The sequence below is a fragment of the Homo sapiens genome, chromosome 2, assembly GCF_000001405.40.
Source record: "Homo sapiens chromosome 2, GRCh38.p14 Primary Assembly".
NCBI classification, from domain to species: Eukaryota; Metazoa; Chordata; class Mammalia; order Primates; family Hominidae; genus Homo; species Homo sapiens.
The window spans coordinates 65,604,869-65,624,322 of record NC_000002.12 but is presented as its reverse complement, the minus strand read 5'-3'; the positions used below and the strand labels follow the sequence as shown (position 1 = coordinate 65,624,322).

General features: G+C 43.6%; 1 annotated feature.

Annotated features, from left to right (window-relative positions):
- Positions 17,617–18,096: an enhancer, noted in NCBI's record as "active region_15937". NCBI's record gives its function as "activates an Ori minimal core promoter by ATAC-STARR-seq in GM12878 lymphoblastoid cells {active_cell/tissue: GM12878}" and the evidence as "EXISTENCE:reporter gene assay evidence [ECO:0000049][PMID:35858748]".

The following is a 19,454-nucleotide window of genomic DNA, read 5'->3' as shown; positions in this document are numbered from 1 at the left end:
CAGACTCTTCTTGCAGATGTAACAATGCTCTTGGTTTAAGCAGGTGTACCAGTCAGGGTTGTTGGCCACAAACAATAGAAATGGCTCTGCCTGAACTGAGCAAAAAAAGACTTTACTAAAGGCAGCTCACAGACTCCAGAATGCTTGGAGAAAGAGGTTCAGGGAATGGGCAGGCACAAAAGAAAGCCGGGTCCTGGAACCACAGCCCCAGATTCCCTACAGGCACATTTTGAAGAGTTCACCTGAGCCTGTGTCACCACTGCAAGTGCCTTCATTGGTGGCACAGCCCCTGGAAACCCGATGTCACTGCCATTGCTGCCGCTGCCACCACCCTAGCAGGACCATCCCCATTTCTTGGCCTCACCAGCTCTCAATTCAGAGCCTCAGGTAGGGTCGTGCAATTGTCAGAGCACTAGTGCTAACCTGCATCCTAGACACCTGGGGGGGCTCAGGAGGGCAGGTATTGATTGGCCTTCTAGGCTTCTCTACTGAAAGGCTAGCTCTGCTCACCCTAAGAATCACATGGCAGGAAGTTTCTCAAATGTAGGAAGGGGATTCCCATGCAGCACGGACCTAAAAACACAAAACCCACTAAGCTGGTTAGGGTGGAGTGCAGAATGGGCTCCTCAGCATCCTTTTAGTGGGGCATGGGTCCCATAATAATTTGAACCCAACTTGGACCTTATTTTCATCTTAAAGATAGAGGATAATATCAACCAACACATGTGTTTGAAGTAAGGTTGAAATGAAATGAAGTATGTGTGGGTGATTTGTAAATTATACAATATTATATGGATGTTAGCGATTCCACTCACTCCTTTGTTCTTTCGGCAAACTTCTCAGGCTTCATCTGGTGCTGGTCCATCACATAAATTTCATCTTCAGCCTCTCAGCAGACAATCTTGCCTCTTACTCCAGAGAGTTAACAGAACCCACATAAAAGAAACTCTACCAGCTTCCCACCACCAAACTGACAGACCCACCTGCATCTACTTCATCCTCTCCTCCTTCACCGCTGTTTCCATGGAGATACCCCACTCTCTATCCACAGCCAATCTTGCCTTAGATAAGTGGCTCCCACCCTTTCCTGCCTTCTCCAGAACCTGTCATTATCAGTTACCCTCTCTGTGTCCTGTATCTCTCTATTTCTTTGTCTCCACTAAATCCTTCCATCCTACTCTCTCCCACATTATCCTCCCTACCTGACCCCCCAGACCCACATTTCCCATTAGCTACCACCCACTCTTACTTCTTTCCTTCACAAACATCTCATGAGTTGCCTGCATTGACTCTCTCCTCTTCCTCATCTCCCGTCCACTCCTCAGCCTGTTCCAGCCTGACTCTCACACTTATGTATCCACCAAGCCTGACTTTGCCAAGTCCGAGTTGCCTCTCACTGATCTGTCTATGGCTTTTGACACAGTGACCCACTGATCCCTCCTTCTAGAGACAACCCCTTCCTTGGCATCCAGGACACTGTCCTCTCTCTCTCTCTCTCTGAATGCTCCTTGCAATTATCTTAGCCAGCTCCTGATTCTCAGGACAGCCTTTAAAGGTTGACTCCTCCTTCCCCTTCATGCCTCCCACATACACATCATCCATCCCTAAATTCTATCCATTCCACCTCCCAAATATTTATCTAATCTTTGCACTCCTACCCACAAGCACAGGACTATAAAATCCTCCTATCTGGTCTTTCCACATCCACTTTGGCCTTCTGAACCATTCTTCAACCAGCAACCAGAGTAAACTTTTTAACATATAAAAACGACCAAGTTGTTTCTTTGCTTAAAACCCTTCAATGACTTAAAATCCTTCAAATCCTTAACAGGGATTTCCATGTGCTACATGTCTCAACCCCGGCCCACCTCTTCCCCCTCCTCATTCTCTTTTCCCCTGGCTTGCCTGCATTCAGCTGGTTGCACAGAGTTTTCCTCTAATAGCCCGAGCTCCTGCTCAACCTGGGGCCATTCCTCTTCCTGAAGCCAGAGCCTCCCTTGCACTGCACAAGCCATGCACTGCATGACTCCAGGCGACACCGTTTGCCTCACTGGCATCACAGATGCAGAGTTGCTACAATGATTCAGCAATGAACTAGCTTAAAGAGGTGCGCTCTTCTAATTACCAAAGAGTCTTTGCACTAGCTGGCATCAGGGCTGTCTGAACACCCTTCCCCTGCTCATCTTTTGGATCTCTTAAGTGTCATGTGGAGGGAGAATCCTTTCCTGACCCTCCAAACTAGGTCAGGTCTCCCTGCAAGTCATGACCCCTCCACACTTTGCCTTTATGTTACTTACCATAATTATATACATTTGGGTAACTATTCATAATGTATCTTTCTTCCTGATGGACTATAAGTTCCCAAGGAATTGTGACAGTTTCTGGGATGCTCTACCCTATGTCACCCTGAGTCCACCAAGGAGGGCATACTCAACTAACTGAGAAGTGACTTATGGATAAACGAATGAGTCAACCACATGGGCTTCTGTTCTGGCTAAACAGCTCTCCTCTGCTGTCTGAATATATCTAAGGCCCTGTTCAGCAACTGTCTAAGTTTCCACGCTTTTAAGCCACAGGATAGAGGTCCAGTTGGTCGGTTTTCCACACACAGGAAAGGAAGTTCCCCAGGACCATAACACCATGTTGTTCTGTTATCATGGGGTTGCCATTTCTTTACTTATTTTTTTTTAAGAGATGGGATCTCACTATGTTGCCCATGCTGGATTTGAACTCCTGGGGCTAAAGCTATCCTCCCACCTCAGCTCCCAAGTAGCTGGGACTACAGGTGCATGGCACCATGCACCAGCTGGAGGCATATTTCAAACAAGCTAACCCACAGAACCATGAGCCTGCCCAAACTCTCCTCTGCTGGCTAGGAAACAAGAATAACCCTCAGCCCAGAGCATGTGGATGACCAGGACCTCACCCACCACCCCATCCTGGAGACCAGCTCTCAACCCTATACTCTTTCAGACCAGGAGCCTGAGCCTGTGTCCCTTTGGGCCACTGCTCGAGTGTGCCCTCTGAGAGGTACTGATCCACAGGCTGCAAGAGTATTTGTCCCATTTTTCTTATCGCTTCCCAAAAAGTAGCACCACTGAGTAACAATTACAGATTGCCTACTGTGTACCTGCCTTTGTACAAAGTAATACAAACCATAATATTTACCCTAAACAAGTTTAGTCTCCAGCTGTGGAGACAAGAGTGCATGTGAACAGAGAAGGAACTCTGAGCAGGGATTTGGAACATCCCAGCCTCGGCCTCAGCACTAAGCCCGTCTGAAAGCTGAAAAGGAAAGTGGTTCAATGCAAGAGTAGTGCATTGGGAAGCCGAGGTGGGAGGATCTCTTGAGCCCAGGAGTGCAAGATCAGCGTGGGCAATATACTGAGACCTGTTATCCACAAAAAAAAAAAAAAAAAAAAAAAAAATTAAAAGTTAGCTGGGCATGCTGGCACATGCTTATAGTCCCAGCTACTTGGGAGACTGAGGCAGGAGATCGCTTGAGCCCAGGAGTTGAAGGCTGCAGTGAGCTATGATTGTGCCACTCCAGCCCAGGTGACAAAATGAGACCCTGTCTCTAAAGAAAAAAAAAAAAAATTTGTGAAAGCAGAGGTCCTAGCCAGAAACCTGGAACTCTACTCCCCTCTGCTGTTTTCTTGTAGACTAAATAAAGATCTGCCATTGCAACCAAAGAGGGAAACAGAAATACAGGGCAAATAAATAGGAGGGGAAGAACAGGACAGAAGGACAAAGAAGGGGGAACAAGTAAGCTGCAATAGTGAAATAAAAGCTATTAATACAGAGTGTGTCTGATTATGACAACTAATATTTGTGTAGTTTTTCACACAGCACTTACACAGGGACTAGCTCTCTGGATTCCCCCAGCATCCCTGAGAAGTACATCATCCCAGCTTTACAGATGTGGGGACTGCAGCCCCAAAGATTGTGAGGTACCCAGTCTTACATAGCTGGCAAGTGACGGAACTAGGACCTGAAACCCTGGCCCAAATCTGACTCCAACACAGTCCTCATTCCTCTAAACTCCTTTCCTCCAGAAACAGCAAGTTTATAGGACAGACAAAGGAGAAGTGGCTCCCAGTTATTCTTCCCACTTCTGCAAAGCCTCATCTCTCCTGCCACACTCACCTCCTCCCACCCCCGCCCCAACCCTCTGCACAGAAAACTGCAGGTCACCTTATTGGCTTCCTAAAGAACATGGTAGTGTTTATTTGCCAACAACCTTGGCAGGACCTCTGTGCTGCCAAACATCCTGTCCTGGGAGCCAAAGGGTCAGCATGGGGAGGAGATGAGGCTTATGCCATCCTCATCCTTCCCTGGGACAGCTTATTACCTGTAGGCACAGGTCTGGTAGATACTGGGAGGATGTCAAAGACCTTACGATGGGACATGATGATCTATCAAAATAATTATAATAATAACAGCAATGACAGCAGCTAACACTTCTTGAGTGCTTACTACCCACCGCCACGAGAAGAGCTTTCAATGGCTTTGAACTGTGTTTAAGCCTCTTGACTATGTAATGAGGTATGCTCTAGTCTTCCATGAGAAACTAAGGCTCAGGGGATGAACTGTCATGTCAGGGCCACACATCAGCAAGGGTTAGAAGCAGGACTCAAGCCAGGTAAAGACTCCAGGGGCCAAACTCTTAACCACCATGAATACTGCCTCTTTGCTTTATGAATACCCTAGGTGGGGCAGCAGGGTAATATAAACCCCAAACGACAGGTACAATTAATGTCTACCAACATCTGGAGTGGCGAGAAAGGTTTCAAAGACGAAATAAGACTGATGTGGACCTGTACGAAGGAAGAAGACAGATGAGGGGCCCAGGGTCACACACAAGAGAAAGGTCAGAGCAAAGGTGAGATGGATTCTGGCAGGGCTTACACAGGGAAGGAGGGGAGATCAGAAGCAGCCCGAATGGTGCCGTGGAAGTTGCCATTGATGGCTCATCCTTCAGACTAACAGATTTGACACCAGAAAGAAGAACAGGGAGCAAAGGAGAACAGAGGAAAGGAAATCGTAGACACCAGGGGAGTTTCAAAAGTACCTAGTAGGAATGTGAGAATTTTTCCCATAATCTGATTATTTGGTCCTCTGGGGTGTCTGGGACAAAGTTTCCACCCTCAGAGTAGCTTCTTCCAAATAGTCCCAGTCGCCATCCTAGGAACCAAGCAGGTGTGTGCTCTTGAAACTTAGGAAGCCCTTTAGCTGTAAATAAAGGGAAAAGGATCTGGGAAAAGTGAGCCAATGGCAGGGGCAGGGAAGGCATTTGCAGTCAATTTGGGATGTCCCCACTGCATTGGATCCTCTCTGTCGTGGAAACGATCCATGCCCCTGTGTCATACAATGTTCAGTCTTATCTAATTCCAGCCATATCTACACCTCACAAAGTAGCACAGCGAGCTACCCACAATCTGTCCAATTTGCTTACTATGAACCTCCAAACAAAGTAGCCAGGCTCCCAGAGGACAGGGGACTTCCTGTCAAGCCAGTTGGGTGCTCTGTCCATCAGTCTCAAGCCTAGGAATGAAAATGCACTTGAAAATCCTTGTCAATGCAACCAGTGCATTCAGACTCTCCATTGTAGCCACATAACCTGTGTCCTCTGTCCTCTGTATCACTGACTATCACTAGAACACAGCTTCCTAACCTTCCCTGGGCCCCTGCAACCACTGAGAAACAAACAAAACAAAACCAGAATCTGTCTCCCAAAAGTTAACATTATTACTGGTCAGGAGAAAGGTTGGACATTTGGTCAAATTCCTCTAAGGTTTTGCAGTTCCCCATTATTAAGAAGTCCTGCTTCAGGAGCACAATGTTAACTGGTTCAAAGCTTTCATATATATATATATGTGTGTGTGTATAATGATTTTACCATTTAAGCTATAGAAGACAGCAACCACAAAATTGAAATTCTGTCTTTCAAAGGGTTTTACATACTCTCTAACTGAAAACAGCTTCACAATAAAATGATCCAGTTTTACAAGTAAGCGCTACCCAAAATAGTAACTATGGCCTTAAGGGCTATTATCTCATTGCTATATGAAGGATTTAGGGCATATAAATGTCCATTAACACAACTAAGCATAATAATCTGATTTATAAAGTACCCCTTGCCAGGGCCTTTGTGGCACCCTACAATTACACTGCCCCAATTAAAACATCCTAGAAGCCTAATAGGCTTACCCCGAAAGAAACAGCCCTGTAAAAGCATGACCCACCCCACCAAAAAATCTTGATGGAGGGGGTTCTACAGCAAGGTGGTGGCAGCAAAGAGGGTTTTTGGATGGAAAGGAGAGCATTTTAAATGTCTGATTCCCATGCTCAAAGCCTGCCAAAGTAAACAGGAGCGATAGTAACCCCAAAGCAAAGAGGCATTACCAGTATGATTGTCTGGTTGTCCATCTAAGGCCGTCCTAGTAAATTTGGCATTTGCTTCTCACAAAAGAACACTTCTGGGTCCTAAGCTTGGGAAATCCAAATGACATTTGCAGTTGGAAAGCAAGAAGAACTCTTCTGTTCCAGAGACCTATTTGGAGCATGAAATTTGAACACCTTCTCTCAACCTTGGCCCAAGTCAACCCCAAGTTGCTCAGCTGAAATTTGCAGAGTCTCAGCCACTTGTGTGTATGTGTGTTGGGGCAGATGGGGGTGGGGGGTCTCATCTGTCTTGACTACTCTTAGATAAGTCTATCACAACAAAATGGAAATCCGCCTCTCAAAATTTACCCTTCATTCCTAGATATCAGTGGACAAATGAAATTTCCAAAAAACATAAGAAGTTACTAAAGTAAATGTCTTCAAAGTTGGCTCAAAGCTAATCTTAGTGAAGAGTGAAAACTGCCCCCTGACTATACTGTAGAGAAAAGCATGTAGCAAAGGAGAACATTTCTAAAAATCTATTCACAGATAGGCAGAGGCAGCCATCCAATGCTGTGTCCCACCCACCACTTAACTCATTCACACCAACTTAGCAAAGATACTATTAATACTAATACTCAAAATGCTGGTGAGACTTCAGCCAGACAAGTACTCTGACACTACCAGTAGGAGGGTCAATTATTTGAGCCTCTCTAAAAAGCCATCTCTCAATAGCTACCAAAAGCCTTTAAAATGCCTAGATCCTTTGATCCACTGGAAATGTATTCTAAGGAAATTGGCAAAACATGTTCAAAGAGCAAAGCATACTAATGCTCCCTGTCACATTGTTTAATGTAGAAAGAGATGGGAACTGATTCAGCAATAAGGGAAGAATCATGTAAATTATGGTAAATCCATAGGCAAAGTATTGTAAAGCCTTTAAAAGTTATGCTTACTGAGAAACACAAAATAAGATATGAATAAAATGAAATAAAAACTGTATTCTTGGGTAGGAAGTCTCAGTAGTGTAAAGATGGTAATTCTCTCCATCTTAGTCTATAAATTCAACATAATCCCAATCAAAATCTCAAAAACAGTTTTGTTTGTTTTGTTGGGAAAGTACAAATTTAACAAAATGATTCCACGGTCATCTGGGAAAATAGGCCATGTGAAAATAGCCAAGAAATGTGTTTTAAAAAGAAGATTAACAAGTATAGTCTAGACCTCACTGTTATAAAATATGTTAAAACTATAATAATTTAAACAATAAGGAACAAATGTAGGACTAGAAAGAGTAGAAGGTTCAAAGGAAGCCAAGTCATATATAAGAATTTAGTATATGATAAAGGTAGCACTTCAGATCACAAGAGAAAATATAGATTATTCAACAAATGGTGTAAGATAACTAGCTAAATGTTTGGGGAAAAGTTTATGCCAGTACCCTATATTACATTTTTGTTTAATTTAAACATGAAAATAACATGCTCTTATAACATGAAAATAATAACATTTTTTAAACCGGTAAAGGAAAGACAGGGGAATGGTCTAAATTATCTTGGAATAAATTAGACTCTTCTTAACATGAAATAAAATAATTGAGAAAAAAACTAACAAGCTTGAATACATAAACATTTTTAACTGCTGTAAAAACACCATAACAGTCAGAGAAAGACAAAAAAAAATTGTGGAACTACTTCTATCACATACAACAAATAATTTTCTTAATATCTAAAGACATAAAATGTATCAATTAGAAACTTATAAATAACATGATACAAAAATATACAAAGTATGTGAACTGCAGTTTATAGAATAAAAAATACGAGTGGCTAAATGTGTGAATAAATGCACAGACTCACTTATAATGAATGACATGTAAATTTAAAAACAGTGAGATTATTGTTTGTTTGGTTTTATGTGTGTGGTTTTTCATTTTTTGTCCCCATTATTGATAAGAGTATGGGAAACCAGAAAGACTATGCATAGCTGATGAGAATGTAAATGCATAAACATTTTTGGAGAGCAACTTGTCCATATCTTTTAATACTTTACATGTGAACCCTCCCTTTAGCCCAGAATTTCCATTTCGGGCATTCATCCTACATAAACACTTGTACACTAAAACATATGTGCAAAGATGCGCACAGAAATATATGCACAGAGATGCCTGATGCAGCATTGTTTATAAGAGGAAAAAAAAAAGGCCTGGGCATGTGGTTTATGCCTATAATCTCAACACATTGTGGGGCCAAGGAAGTATTGCTTAAGGCCAGGAGCTTGAAACCAGCCTGGGCAGAATAGTGAAGCCCTGTCTCTACAAATATATATAGATATATAGATTTTTTTTTTAATTAGCCAGGCATGAGCCTATAGTCCCAGCTGCTCAGGAGGCTGAGGCGGAAGGATCACTTGAGCCCAGGAAGTTGAGACTGCAGTGAGCTGTGAGTACACCATTGCTCTCCAGCCTGGGCAATAAAGTGAGAACCTGTCTCAAAAAATATATATAAAAAAGGGAAATCACTTAAATAGCTATCAATAGAAGTTTGGTTAAAGATGAGATTTTCCTAGAATGGAATACCTAGCAGTAGTTTAAAAGAATAAGGTGGATTTGTATGTAGTAACATAAAAGATGTCCAAGATATAATACGTGCAAAAATGTCGCAAAACTGTATGAATAATATGAACCCACGTTTTCTGTGCCTGTACATGCAAAACTAATGTCTGAATAGAAATATAAGAAATTGCTAAAAAGGAGTTACATCAACTGAGTGAAAAAAAGGAGAGAAGAGGAGAGAGGATATTTACTTTTCATATCTTCAACTTTTTTTTTTTTTACAATGGCATGCGTTACTGTTGAAATCACAAACTAATAAAAAATAGTTGAAGTTTTAAAATTAAAATTCAAGTATTTTAATATTTGCCAAGACTCTTTTAAAGATCCAGAGAAGTACTTATAATGTAGCATAAAAGGAAAATCCAGATCATGTAATTATAAAGTATGCTCTAAATTATTTTAAAATTTATATGTAAATATGTACATGTAATAAAATGCTGGCAGGAAACTTACCAAAATGTTCATGGTAATTAATTCTAGTACTAATGTTTTAACATCTTTTTTTATTTACTCATTTATATTTTTTCAAGTTTTCCAAAATTAATATATAATCAGAAAAATAATTTACTGAGCAATTCAGAATTTGCTTAGCAAATTATTATATGTCCTACACTAGACTAGGAATCAAGGGCAGAGAAAATGTGGGACATAACTGCTTTCCTCAAGCAATTTACAGTTTCACAGATGAATCTGTACCTATGGCTAAAACATTTGTACATATAGAATCCGTACATGTTGCGATCAACAGAGAACAACAATGAGCCAAGTGATAAGCTGAATCTTATCAAAGGTCAAAATGTATGAAAGAGACAGTGTGATTAATGGGACAACAGAAAGGGAAAAAGAAACACATGTCCCAATTATTAGCACCTCCGTAACCAGACAACCAGGGAAACAGCCTTGGGAAATAACATTAGAACTGTCTTCCAATGACAGAGTCAGAACTATACACAAGCTTGATTCTGGGCATTAAGAGGCTCACTTCCTCAAAACAATGCCTTTGCCACACACTGATATCTAAAATTTTACTTTAAAGATTTATCTCCTTTTTTCATACTCTCTATCACTCTTAAAAAGCAAATGGATCTCGAAGTGCCAACACTTGACACTGGATAGGACCCCTCCAGGCTTCTGGTGCCCATGACAGACATCACTAGTCAATCTCCGCACTTCCTTGTGAAAGAATCTCAGAATCTTTCTCAGCACAACACTGCAAGCAGCTACAACCCACTGAGCAAAGCTAGGATCTGAGTAGAACACTATTTGCCATCCCTTATTAAAGTGATTGTAATAATAAACTCACATTTGAATAGGAGCTGAGAATTTACAAAGCTCTGTCACATCCATTATCTCATTTGAGCTGGTGTTGTTTTCTTTATGCCAAAATTGAGGATTTAAGAGTATCTGCAAATTGTTCAATGGCCGCTCTTAAGAGGTAGGCCCCAGATTCTAATGGGAAACACAATCTTTGTTCCAAGTCCACTTCTCTTCCTTCTCTTCCTCTTAAACATCAGTCTAAAAGAGTTGAGCCTATGCTATTCTGAGAGCCAGTTTGGGGAGGGGAGAGCATGAGGATCTTAGGAAGCACTGGGTCTCGGGAAAGAGCATCCCTGAAAAATGCAGGACACCAGAACCCAGAGACTATGGGCACAGGACATCATAATTTTGCAAAAAGCTAGTTCTTTCCCCTGAAGAGAGCAGTAAATATATTCAGGTTCCCACCTACAACTGTTATCTCACTGGAGTTCAACCAAGAACCCCATTAAGTTCAAGAACAATTCCAACCATATGAAAATCTGACAGGTACTAAGATGCACAGATAAGTTTCCGTGCCTTGGGCTCTGCGGCCTCATTCTTGCCAGTTTCCCTACAGCCTGCTGTCTGTTCTCTAGGTTGGGGAAGACCAGAGCCAGCCTGATGGTCCTCCCAAGGTCTCCCCCAAGTTCCAAACACCCAGTGGAAAATGCACAATCTACCAAGTCATTTTCTCCTTTGGTGCTTCAAACGTGACTCTCAGATTCCCCTGGGCAGCTCCATGATCATCTGAAGCTCCTCTCATCCAGCTCCATTTGGAGGCACATGAAGGTTAACTTCCATAAGCAAGAGGTCTGCCTTGCACAGACCTTGTGTGCACACGCGTTTGTGTGTGTGTGTGTGTGTGTGTGTGTGTGTGTGTGTCCAGGGACACCCATGAACTCACCCTCCAATCCAATCCAATATTAAAAGTGCAACAGTCCTAAAAGGGTTTTTTAAACACCAGAATTAGATAGCGTGTTGAATTTGAGGTTAACATATGGATTTTTGACTTTAAAAGGCTAGATTTTCACAACAAACACACGTTGCTATAGAGACGGCATAAGCCTATGTAAACTTCAGGCATTCATATTCATAGAAACTCCTGAAGCAAGACCAAATGTTGGCCCCAACATTCCTGCTCTTGCCAACTTCCAAAGAGTGCACAAATTATGCCAAAAATAAATGGGTGTGACTAATATAAGCTTAGAACATTTTTCAAAAATTTACCTTAAGGGCAACATTTGTTGATCTAGGAGCTGGGTGTGTAAAGCCTACTTCCCCCTTCCATAAATCCATCTGTTTTATTTACACTTCCTAAAAGACCTGCATGCACATTTTTTCCATAAATTGTACAACTGCTAGTAATCACGTATCATCTCAATCTGCGCCCCAGTTCTATTTTAACACTATGTCTCTTCCTTTTTGTTTGTGTTCCATTAAGCACATACTAGAGGCAAAGCAGTCAAGACTTAACCCTTCCATTCCCAAATACACACTCCAGGGCTGCCGAATTGGCCACAAGCTTTTACATAGGCGACAATTCCCAGGTCTACAAGCCTGGGGTAAATCCTATTACAAAAGCTCAGAGATGTCAAATTGGTTTCTGCTACTGACCTTCTTTCTCGCGACCCCTGCCCCAACCCTCCAGGCCCCAATCCCAAATCCCTCATTTCTCCCACACCAAGGTCAACCTGTATGACGACTGAGCTCTGCCCTGAATTTGCTCTATCCTGTGGTGGATACTTGCTGCTAATTACTGTAGTCACACTTCTTAATTCAACAAGCGCCAGGCGGCTGCCCGCCATCTCCCCAGTGGGATGGGTCGCTAGCTATCTCACGCAGGTCACTAAGTCGGCATTTATTTCCTGATAGGAGATGGCGTTACAAGGTAGCTGTTCCAACATGAATGGTAATCAACAATAATTAAAAGTGATACACCTATTCTGACTCATATGATAGTGTTAAAAAAAAAAATCCAAAAAGGGTGGTGGAAGGAAGGGGGAGAAAGAAAGAGAAAATAAACTACTTAGCCAAAGCCAATAGGTTTTTCATTTCAACTTAGAATTTCTGGAAAATGCTTGCTTCTGTTTCCTTTTAATTCATGCAGAAGGAGTACTTCCACACTGCAACCACAGTGAAAAGCAGTGAATTGGGCTTTTCCATAAGGGAAAGAAAAGCCAAATGAATCCCTTTACCTTGGCACTGGGGAGAACAGCAGAGCAGGGGTCAGGCCACACTCAAAATCTCCCTGTCCTTGGAGGCCATCGTGACTATCTCATGGGTGATGCCAACTTCCAATCTTAGAAACTGAAAAGATCAACTGCAACCAACTCTCGAGCATCCAGAAGTGGTTTAGCCTGAGCTGCATAAATGACTGTGGCCCACTCAGATTCTCAGCCCCCATCTTAGTCCTCCTCTGGAGAACACAGGCAGCCCAGGCCCATGCTATTACTCACCAGGCCCTACTGGGTAAATGGGCACTCCAGTCATCCCATGGGCCTCTATGCAGGGATCCTGTGCACACAGGGCAGCTTTACTTCAGCTGTGATTAGGATTATCTACGATCTACACTCTCATGCCATCCCCCCACCTTCTGCCACCCCCATCTTAAAATGGGTCCCCCAGAATCAGATCTGGAGACTACAATTCACTTGTCAGTTATATATCAATAAAGTGCTCCCAGGAGAAAACGGAAAGGGGATGAGGGGAACAGAACAGAAATGGGGAAAAAGCCAAGCACAGGTGAGATTCCGGCCCAGCCTCTGCCAGATTCCAAAGCATAAATGGGCCCACATTGAAGCAAGGCCACTGACCTTTGTCACTCCCATATTCGGTTCTCCGCTACTGGCCGCCTCAGAGCGAATGTAAACCCCCAGGCACTTCTGGCTCTCTGTACCTTTCCCCAAGCAGCTCCAGGGGCCCATGGGCATCCTCCAAAGAAGGCCACTGGGGCCAGTGTGGAGGCAAAGGGAAGTGAGGCTGGATGATGGGCACTCAGAAGGAATCCCAGGAACACCGACCTGTCTATTGCACCCCCAGGGAAGAGAACACTGTAGTATTTTAACATTAATTTCATAAAACAATTCTTAATATTAAAATCTTAAAGAAGCAGGCATGAATGGGGGAGAGAAAAATAATCCCATCACCGATTGTACCTACTATGCAGGAAAACACCGAAATGTAAAGTCTGCTTATCGACTGTCACACCTGGACCAGGAAATAAGAATGTGAGACCTAGACACCTGTGTATTCCAGTGTTCTGTCCTGAAGCACCTATGGAACTTCAAAGTGCCACTTGATCACCTCCCCTCATGACCAGCATGCAAGCATGACTATCCAGCTCCCACAGCATGGCAGAATTTTAAGGGACTGCCTCCCATGCCCAAGATACCCTCCTGCCTTCTGACTCCTGTGTGGACTACATCTTGCCTACTTTGGCCAGCTCAGGGAAGACAGACAAATGGAGGGTAGGAATTGCACAAGAGCCCACATGCCCCCCATGAATGCCTCAGAACAAGAGCCTGCTCTGATTGATTGATCTATAGTGGCTCTGATGGAAAGAGTCGTCAGACTGAGGAGAGTGTGATGATCTAGTTTTGATGCCTAATGCAGGAGAAGGAAGTAAAGGCACATCCCTGTGGTATAGACGAGGCTAGAACCTCATCTACTCCTGAGGGTGCATCCTCCCTTCCAAAGTCTGCCCTCCTCATTTCATATAAATTATACTCACACACAAAAAAAAACAAATGGGGGACATGTACAGTGGCTCACGTCTGTAATCCCAGCACTTTGGGAGGCCAAAGTCAGGCCGATCACTTGAGGGCAGGAGTTCAAGACCAGCCTGGCCAACATGGTGAAACCCCGTCTCTACTACAAATACAAGAATTAGCCAGGCATGGTGGCATGCACCTATAATCCCAGCTACTCAGGAGGCTGAGGCAGGAGAATCACTTGAACCCAGGAGGCGGAGGTTGCAGTGATCCAAGATCGTGCCACTGCACTCCAGCCTGGGCAACAGAGCAAAACTCCATCTCAAAAAAAAAAAAGAAAAAGAAAGAAAGAAAGAAAAGAAAAAAAGTAATGGGTTTTAAAATGCTTACAAAGGGCCGGGCATGGTGGTACGCACCAGTAGTCCCAGCTACTTAGGAAGCTGAGTGAGTCAGGAGGATCACTTGAGCCCAGGAGGTCGAGGTTGCAGTAAATTCTGATTGCACCATTGCACTTCAGCCTGGGCAACAGAGCCAGACTCTGTCTAGAAAAAAAGAGAAAAAGAAAGAAAGAAAATGTTTACAAAGTTTAGAATTTAAAAGTATATCAAAGGACTAGGCTGTACTGTTTGTCGTAAAGAAGTTAATAACCTCAAGAAGAACATAAGACATACAGACAGAGAGCAAGTCTTAAGACATACATCATAAACTGGCAAGATAAATAAATTCCCAAGTGCCAACATATATGTAATTTCAGGTAATCAGGTGCCTGCTCCTGTGATGAGCATAAACGGGGTTCTGGGCGCTCATGCAGTGAAGAGATGACTGTTCTAGAAACAAAGAAGGAGGTGGGATTTGAACAGTCCCTGGAGTTTGAGTTGGATTTAGACAGGAGAGCGAGAGAGGAAGGAACAACAGGAGAGAAGCCATATTCTGGGAATGTTTGGTGAAGCTCTTGAAGATTCCAGAGTACAGAAAATCGTTTCTCCTATACCCCACACAGAAACAAAGCCCTGTTTCCTGGCCACATCCCGTGGGCTGCTTTCAGAGAGGCCCTTCACACTCAGGGCTGCTCTCAGGGAACAGAAGGGCTCGATTTGCCAGCCGTTGGTGAGGGCAGAGGATGGAATTTCAACTCCCCAGCTCACGGGTCTTCCTGTGCCGCCCAATCCAGTCGCGGGAACCCGGGCCAATCCGTGGCCTCTAGTTAATACTTGAGCGCATTCAAGCCTCCCCCAAGAAAAAAATGAAAATAGCCAGCAAGGAGGGAAAGGCAGCCAGGGACGTCCCCCTTCCACTTCAGAAGAGCAGTAGAAACCGTCACCTCCCTATAGGACAACAAATCACCCCCATAAACACCCACCAGCCACCTCTCGCCCCTTCGTGATTTATTTTCCAGCAATTGGCCCGCATTTAGCAAAATTTGAACGGCAGTGAGAATAATAATCAGACCCAGGACCTGACCACCTCAAACTCTCCCTCCTGCCTTCCTACCCACTCTCACCACCCCCAGGACTGGCTGACAATGCTGTGAGCCCCACGCGGAAGCAGGCCTAGGAAGAGAGGGTGCAAACTTGGATTTCAGCCTCCCATCTCCTCCCAGCTCCCAGACTTCCCCCAGCGTGCACCCCTCTCCTCTTCCTGCAAAAGCAAGCCCTTCTCCCCTCACTCAGCCAAGCCAAATACGCACAGAACCAATTCAGTTTCCAGAAGTTAAAGATCAGCTCCAAGCCGAGACTTGTTCTAAAATAATGGAAGGGGGATGGGAGGGTAGAGAGGAGATGTGGGAACAGAGAGAAAAATTAAGGCTATTGGCTTTCTGTCATTTGGCAGTGAACCTGCCAAAACAAAGTTTGCAGCTTTTAGAGGCTTTACAGTAGGATGGGAGGTGGGGGGTCAGAGGGAACCTTTATCCATTCTGATTTTAAGAATAACTCTTCATCCTGTTCACTCACGGTATACCCTGGAGGGGGATGTGTTTTGTTTTGTTTGTTTTGTTTTGTTTTGTTTTGTTTTGTTTTGTTTTAAAGCAAGAAACCCATAAATGCCACCTCTTTCCAAATTGCCCTCAGTCTCCTTAGAGATGGGACTCTTTTCAAGAGGGGCACCTCCCCGACGGCTGTGGATTAACAACAATAACAACTCGCGCTTGCGAGGAGCTTTTAACTTTTCAAAGTCCTCCTCCATCCATCATCCCGCTTTATCCCCGTGACAGCCTGGTGATGCAGGTGGGGCAGGGATTCCAGGGCCAGCCTTCAATGTAAGCAGAGCAGATTATGTACCCAGCAGACCCAGGGGCCCAGGAAGGGACCGACTGCCCCAGAGAACCTCTCCCAACAAACTGCACCTGAAAATCCTCTTAACAAAAAACTACCCTTCCACTTCACACGACAGATGAGGCTCAAGAAACAAATACCCTCTGGAAAGAGAACCCATCAACCAGTGTGTAATGTGGGGCAAAGCCGGCAGGAAGGCTTTTCAGACGGCAGTGTTTAGTAGGGAAGGGAAATGGTCCACCACCAGGGAAGACACGGGGAATGGAGGAAACCTGGCTTGGCTCGCAGAGTTGCCTGAGGTCACCCCCAGGAATTGCTAACCCTATTTTAAAGGTAGGAAGACACAAAGAGGTCAAGTCACCCCCGTGTTTACTCATTCCTTGATTCAAACACTTTTTTAGTAGCTGCTATTGTGCCAGCCTAGCCCTGGTGTGTAAGATGAAGACATAGAGCCTGCCTGCGAGAAGCCTGCAATGGAGTGCAAGAAGCAGTGTGAGCATCAGGATGGCATCAGATCCTCCTCTCCCCTCCACCCTCCTCATCCCCTTCCCTCTCCCCTCACTTTGGGCAACAGACCATTGCCTTCTAAGCAGGCCTGCCTACATAGTCCAGGATGAAAAATGCAATTGATTTCAGAATGTGTACTGTAGACACATAGCAGAGACTTTTTTGAGAGATAAATTTTGGAATTCTAAAATCTCAGTTTTTATATCAAAAGGCAACTTCTGGAAGCCTCAGAGCATAGTGTCATAATTGGTAGAACAGGGAAAAATTTTCAGCAGTGATGGTTTCCCTTACCATAGGAGGGAACCCACCCCACCAGCTCTTTTTTTTTTTTTTTTTTTTTGACAGAATTTCGCTCTTGTGGCCCAGGCTGGAGTGCAGTGGCGCCATCTCTGCTCACCACAACCTCTGTCTCCCAGATTCAAGTGATTCTCCTGCCTCAGCCTCCCGAGTAGCTGGGATTACAGGCATGCACCACCACACCCGACTAATTTTGTATTTTGAGTAGAGACAGAGTTTCTCCATGTTGGTCAGGCTGGTCTCAAACTCCCAACCTCAGGTGATCCACCCACCTCAGCCTCCCAAAAGTGCTGGGATCACAGGTGTGAGCCACCATGCCTGGCCCCACCTCACCAGCTCTTATCCCACCAGCTGTGAACCTTGGTGAGTCCTTAGTGATCTGATCACATAAGGACACTGAGCCCTAGGGGTGTAGGAGGATTGAAGCCCTGATGCAATGCTTATCATTTTAGTCACCTATCACTCAGTCACAGTTCTGGTGGTTTAGCTATTTCTCTCCTCAAATGCACGGAAAACTGTGATTTGGTTCTCTACAAATGACACTTTCTGTTTTTGTGTTTGTTTTTCAAAATACCTTGGCATAACTCATACAATGAGATTAGAATTTGTTGGTGAACTATTTTTCAGCTCAGTAACCTATTTTTTTAATTGTGGTAAAAATAAAACCACATAACATAAAGTGTACCATCTTAACCATTTTTAAGTGTACAGTTCAGTAGTACTAAATATATTCACATTGCTGTGAGATACATCTCCAGAACTTTCTCATCTTGCAGAACTGAAACTCTATAACTATAAATAACTCTCTTTTGCCCCTTCCCCCAGCTCTTGGCAACCACCCTTCTACTTCCTATTATCTACGATTTGACTAATTTAGATATCTCATGTGAGTAGAATTATACAATGTTTTTCCTTTTGTGTCTGGCTTGTTTCACAGAGCATAATGTCTTCAAGGTTCATCCACGCTGCACCAAGTGTCAGAATTCCTCTCCCTTTTAAGGCTGAATAATATTCCATTGTATGTAAATGCCACATTTTGTTTATCCATTCATCCACTGATGAATATGTAGGTTGCTTCTACCTCTTGGCTCTTGCAAATAACCCTGCTATGAACATGAGTGTGCAAATACCTTTTCAAGACCCTGCTTTTAATTCTTTTGGATATAGGCCCAGAAGTGAGATTCTGGATCATAAGGTAGTCCTAGTTTCAATTTTTTTGAGGAACAATGATACTGTTTCCCATAGCAGTGGCACCATTCTACATCCTCCAACAATTCCCAGGGTTCCAACTTCTCCACATCCCTTTCAACACTTACTGTCTGTTATTGTTGTTGTTTATAGTAGCCACTGTAATGGTTGGGTAATGCCTCAGTTGTGGTCTTGATTTGCATTTCTCTGGTAGTTAGTGATGTTGAGCATCTTTTCATATGCTTTTTGGCCATTTGTAACTCAGCAACCATTTTTAAAAGTGTTGATTTTTGAAGCTCTGAAATTGAGTTTTCCTGTTTTGGGGCAGGCCCCAACTGCCACTTTTCACAGAGGAGGTCCCAGTGAAAAAGAGGCAGTTTCTGTTTTTGACTTTAACATATGACTAAAGTAAGGTTTCTCAGCCTCATCACAATTGACATTTTGGTTGAGGAATGCCCCGTGCATTGTAGGGAGTTTACCAGCATCCCTGGCCTCTAGATGCCAGTAGCATTCCGGCTCCCCTGGTGACAGCCAAAAATATCTCCAGACATTACCAAATGTCTCCGGGGGAACAAAACTGCCCCTGGTTGAGAGCCACTGGATTAGAGTTTTCAAACTAGCATGTTTGAGTTGGCCAACGTGACAATTTTAAATTTTTGAGACAACATTAAAAATTTTGTAGATATCACCTAAAAATTCAGATTTCCAGCTTCTCTTGAGGAAGCAGAGGATACAGGCTATCTTGGGCCTGCATTGCCCCATGGCAATATTTGGCTGGGCTGAGTAGCTACTGCCCCACCCAAGTTTGAGGTGGTTCCCTCAATGTAGCCCATAAAATAAAACCATTGTGAATGCCAGATACATCTGCCTCTAGTTTATCCAGTGAAATAATTCTGATTTGTCTGAGTTTTCCTACTAGTATGCATGATAATGTAAAATCCCAGACCACTGGACCAAAACTACTAGAATTATTTGATATTCCAAAGTTTACTCTCTGTCTTTGTCTGTCTGTCCCTCTCTCTCTCTCTCTCTCTCTCTCTCTCTCTCTCACACACACACACACACACACACACAGAGAGAGAGAGAGAGAGAGAGAGACAGCAAGGTTCACAGAACACTGGACTAGAAGCTGGGAGAGCAAGGTTCTAATCCTGAGTCTGTGTCCTTGATTAATTCAATTTAACA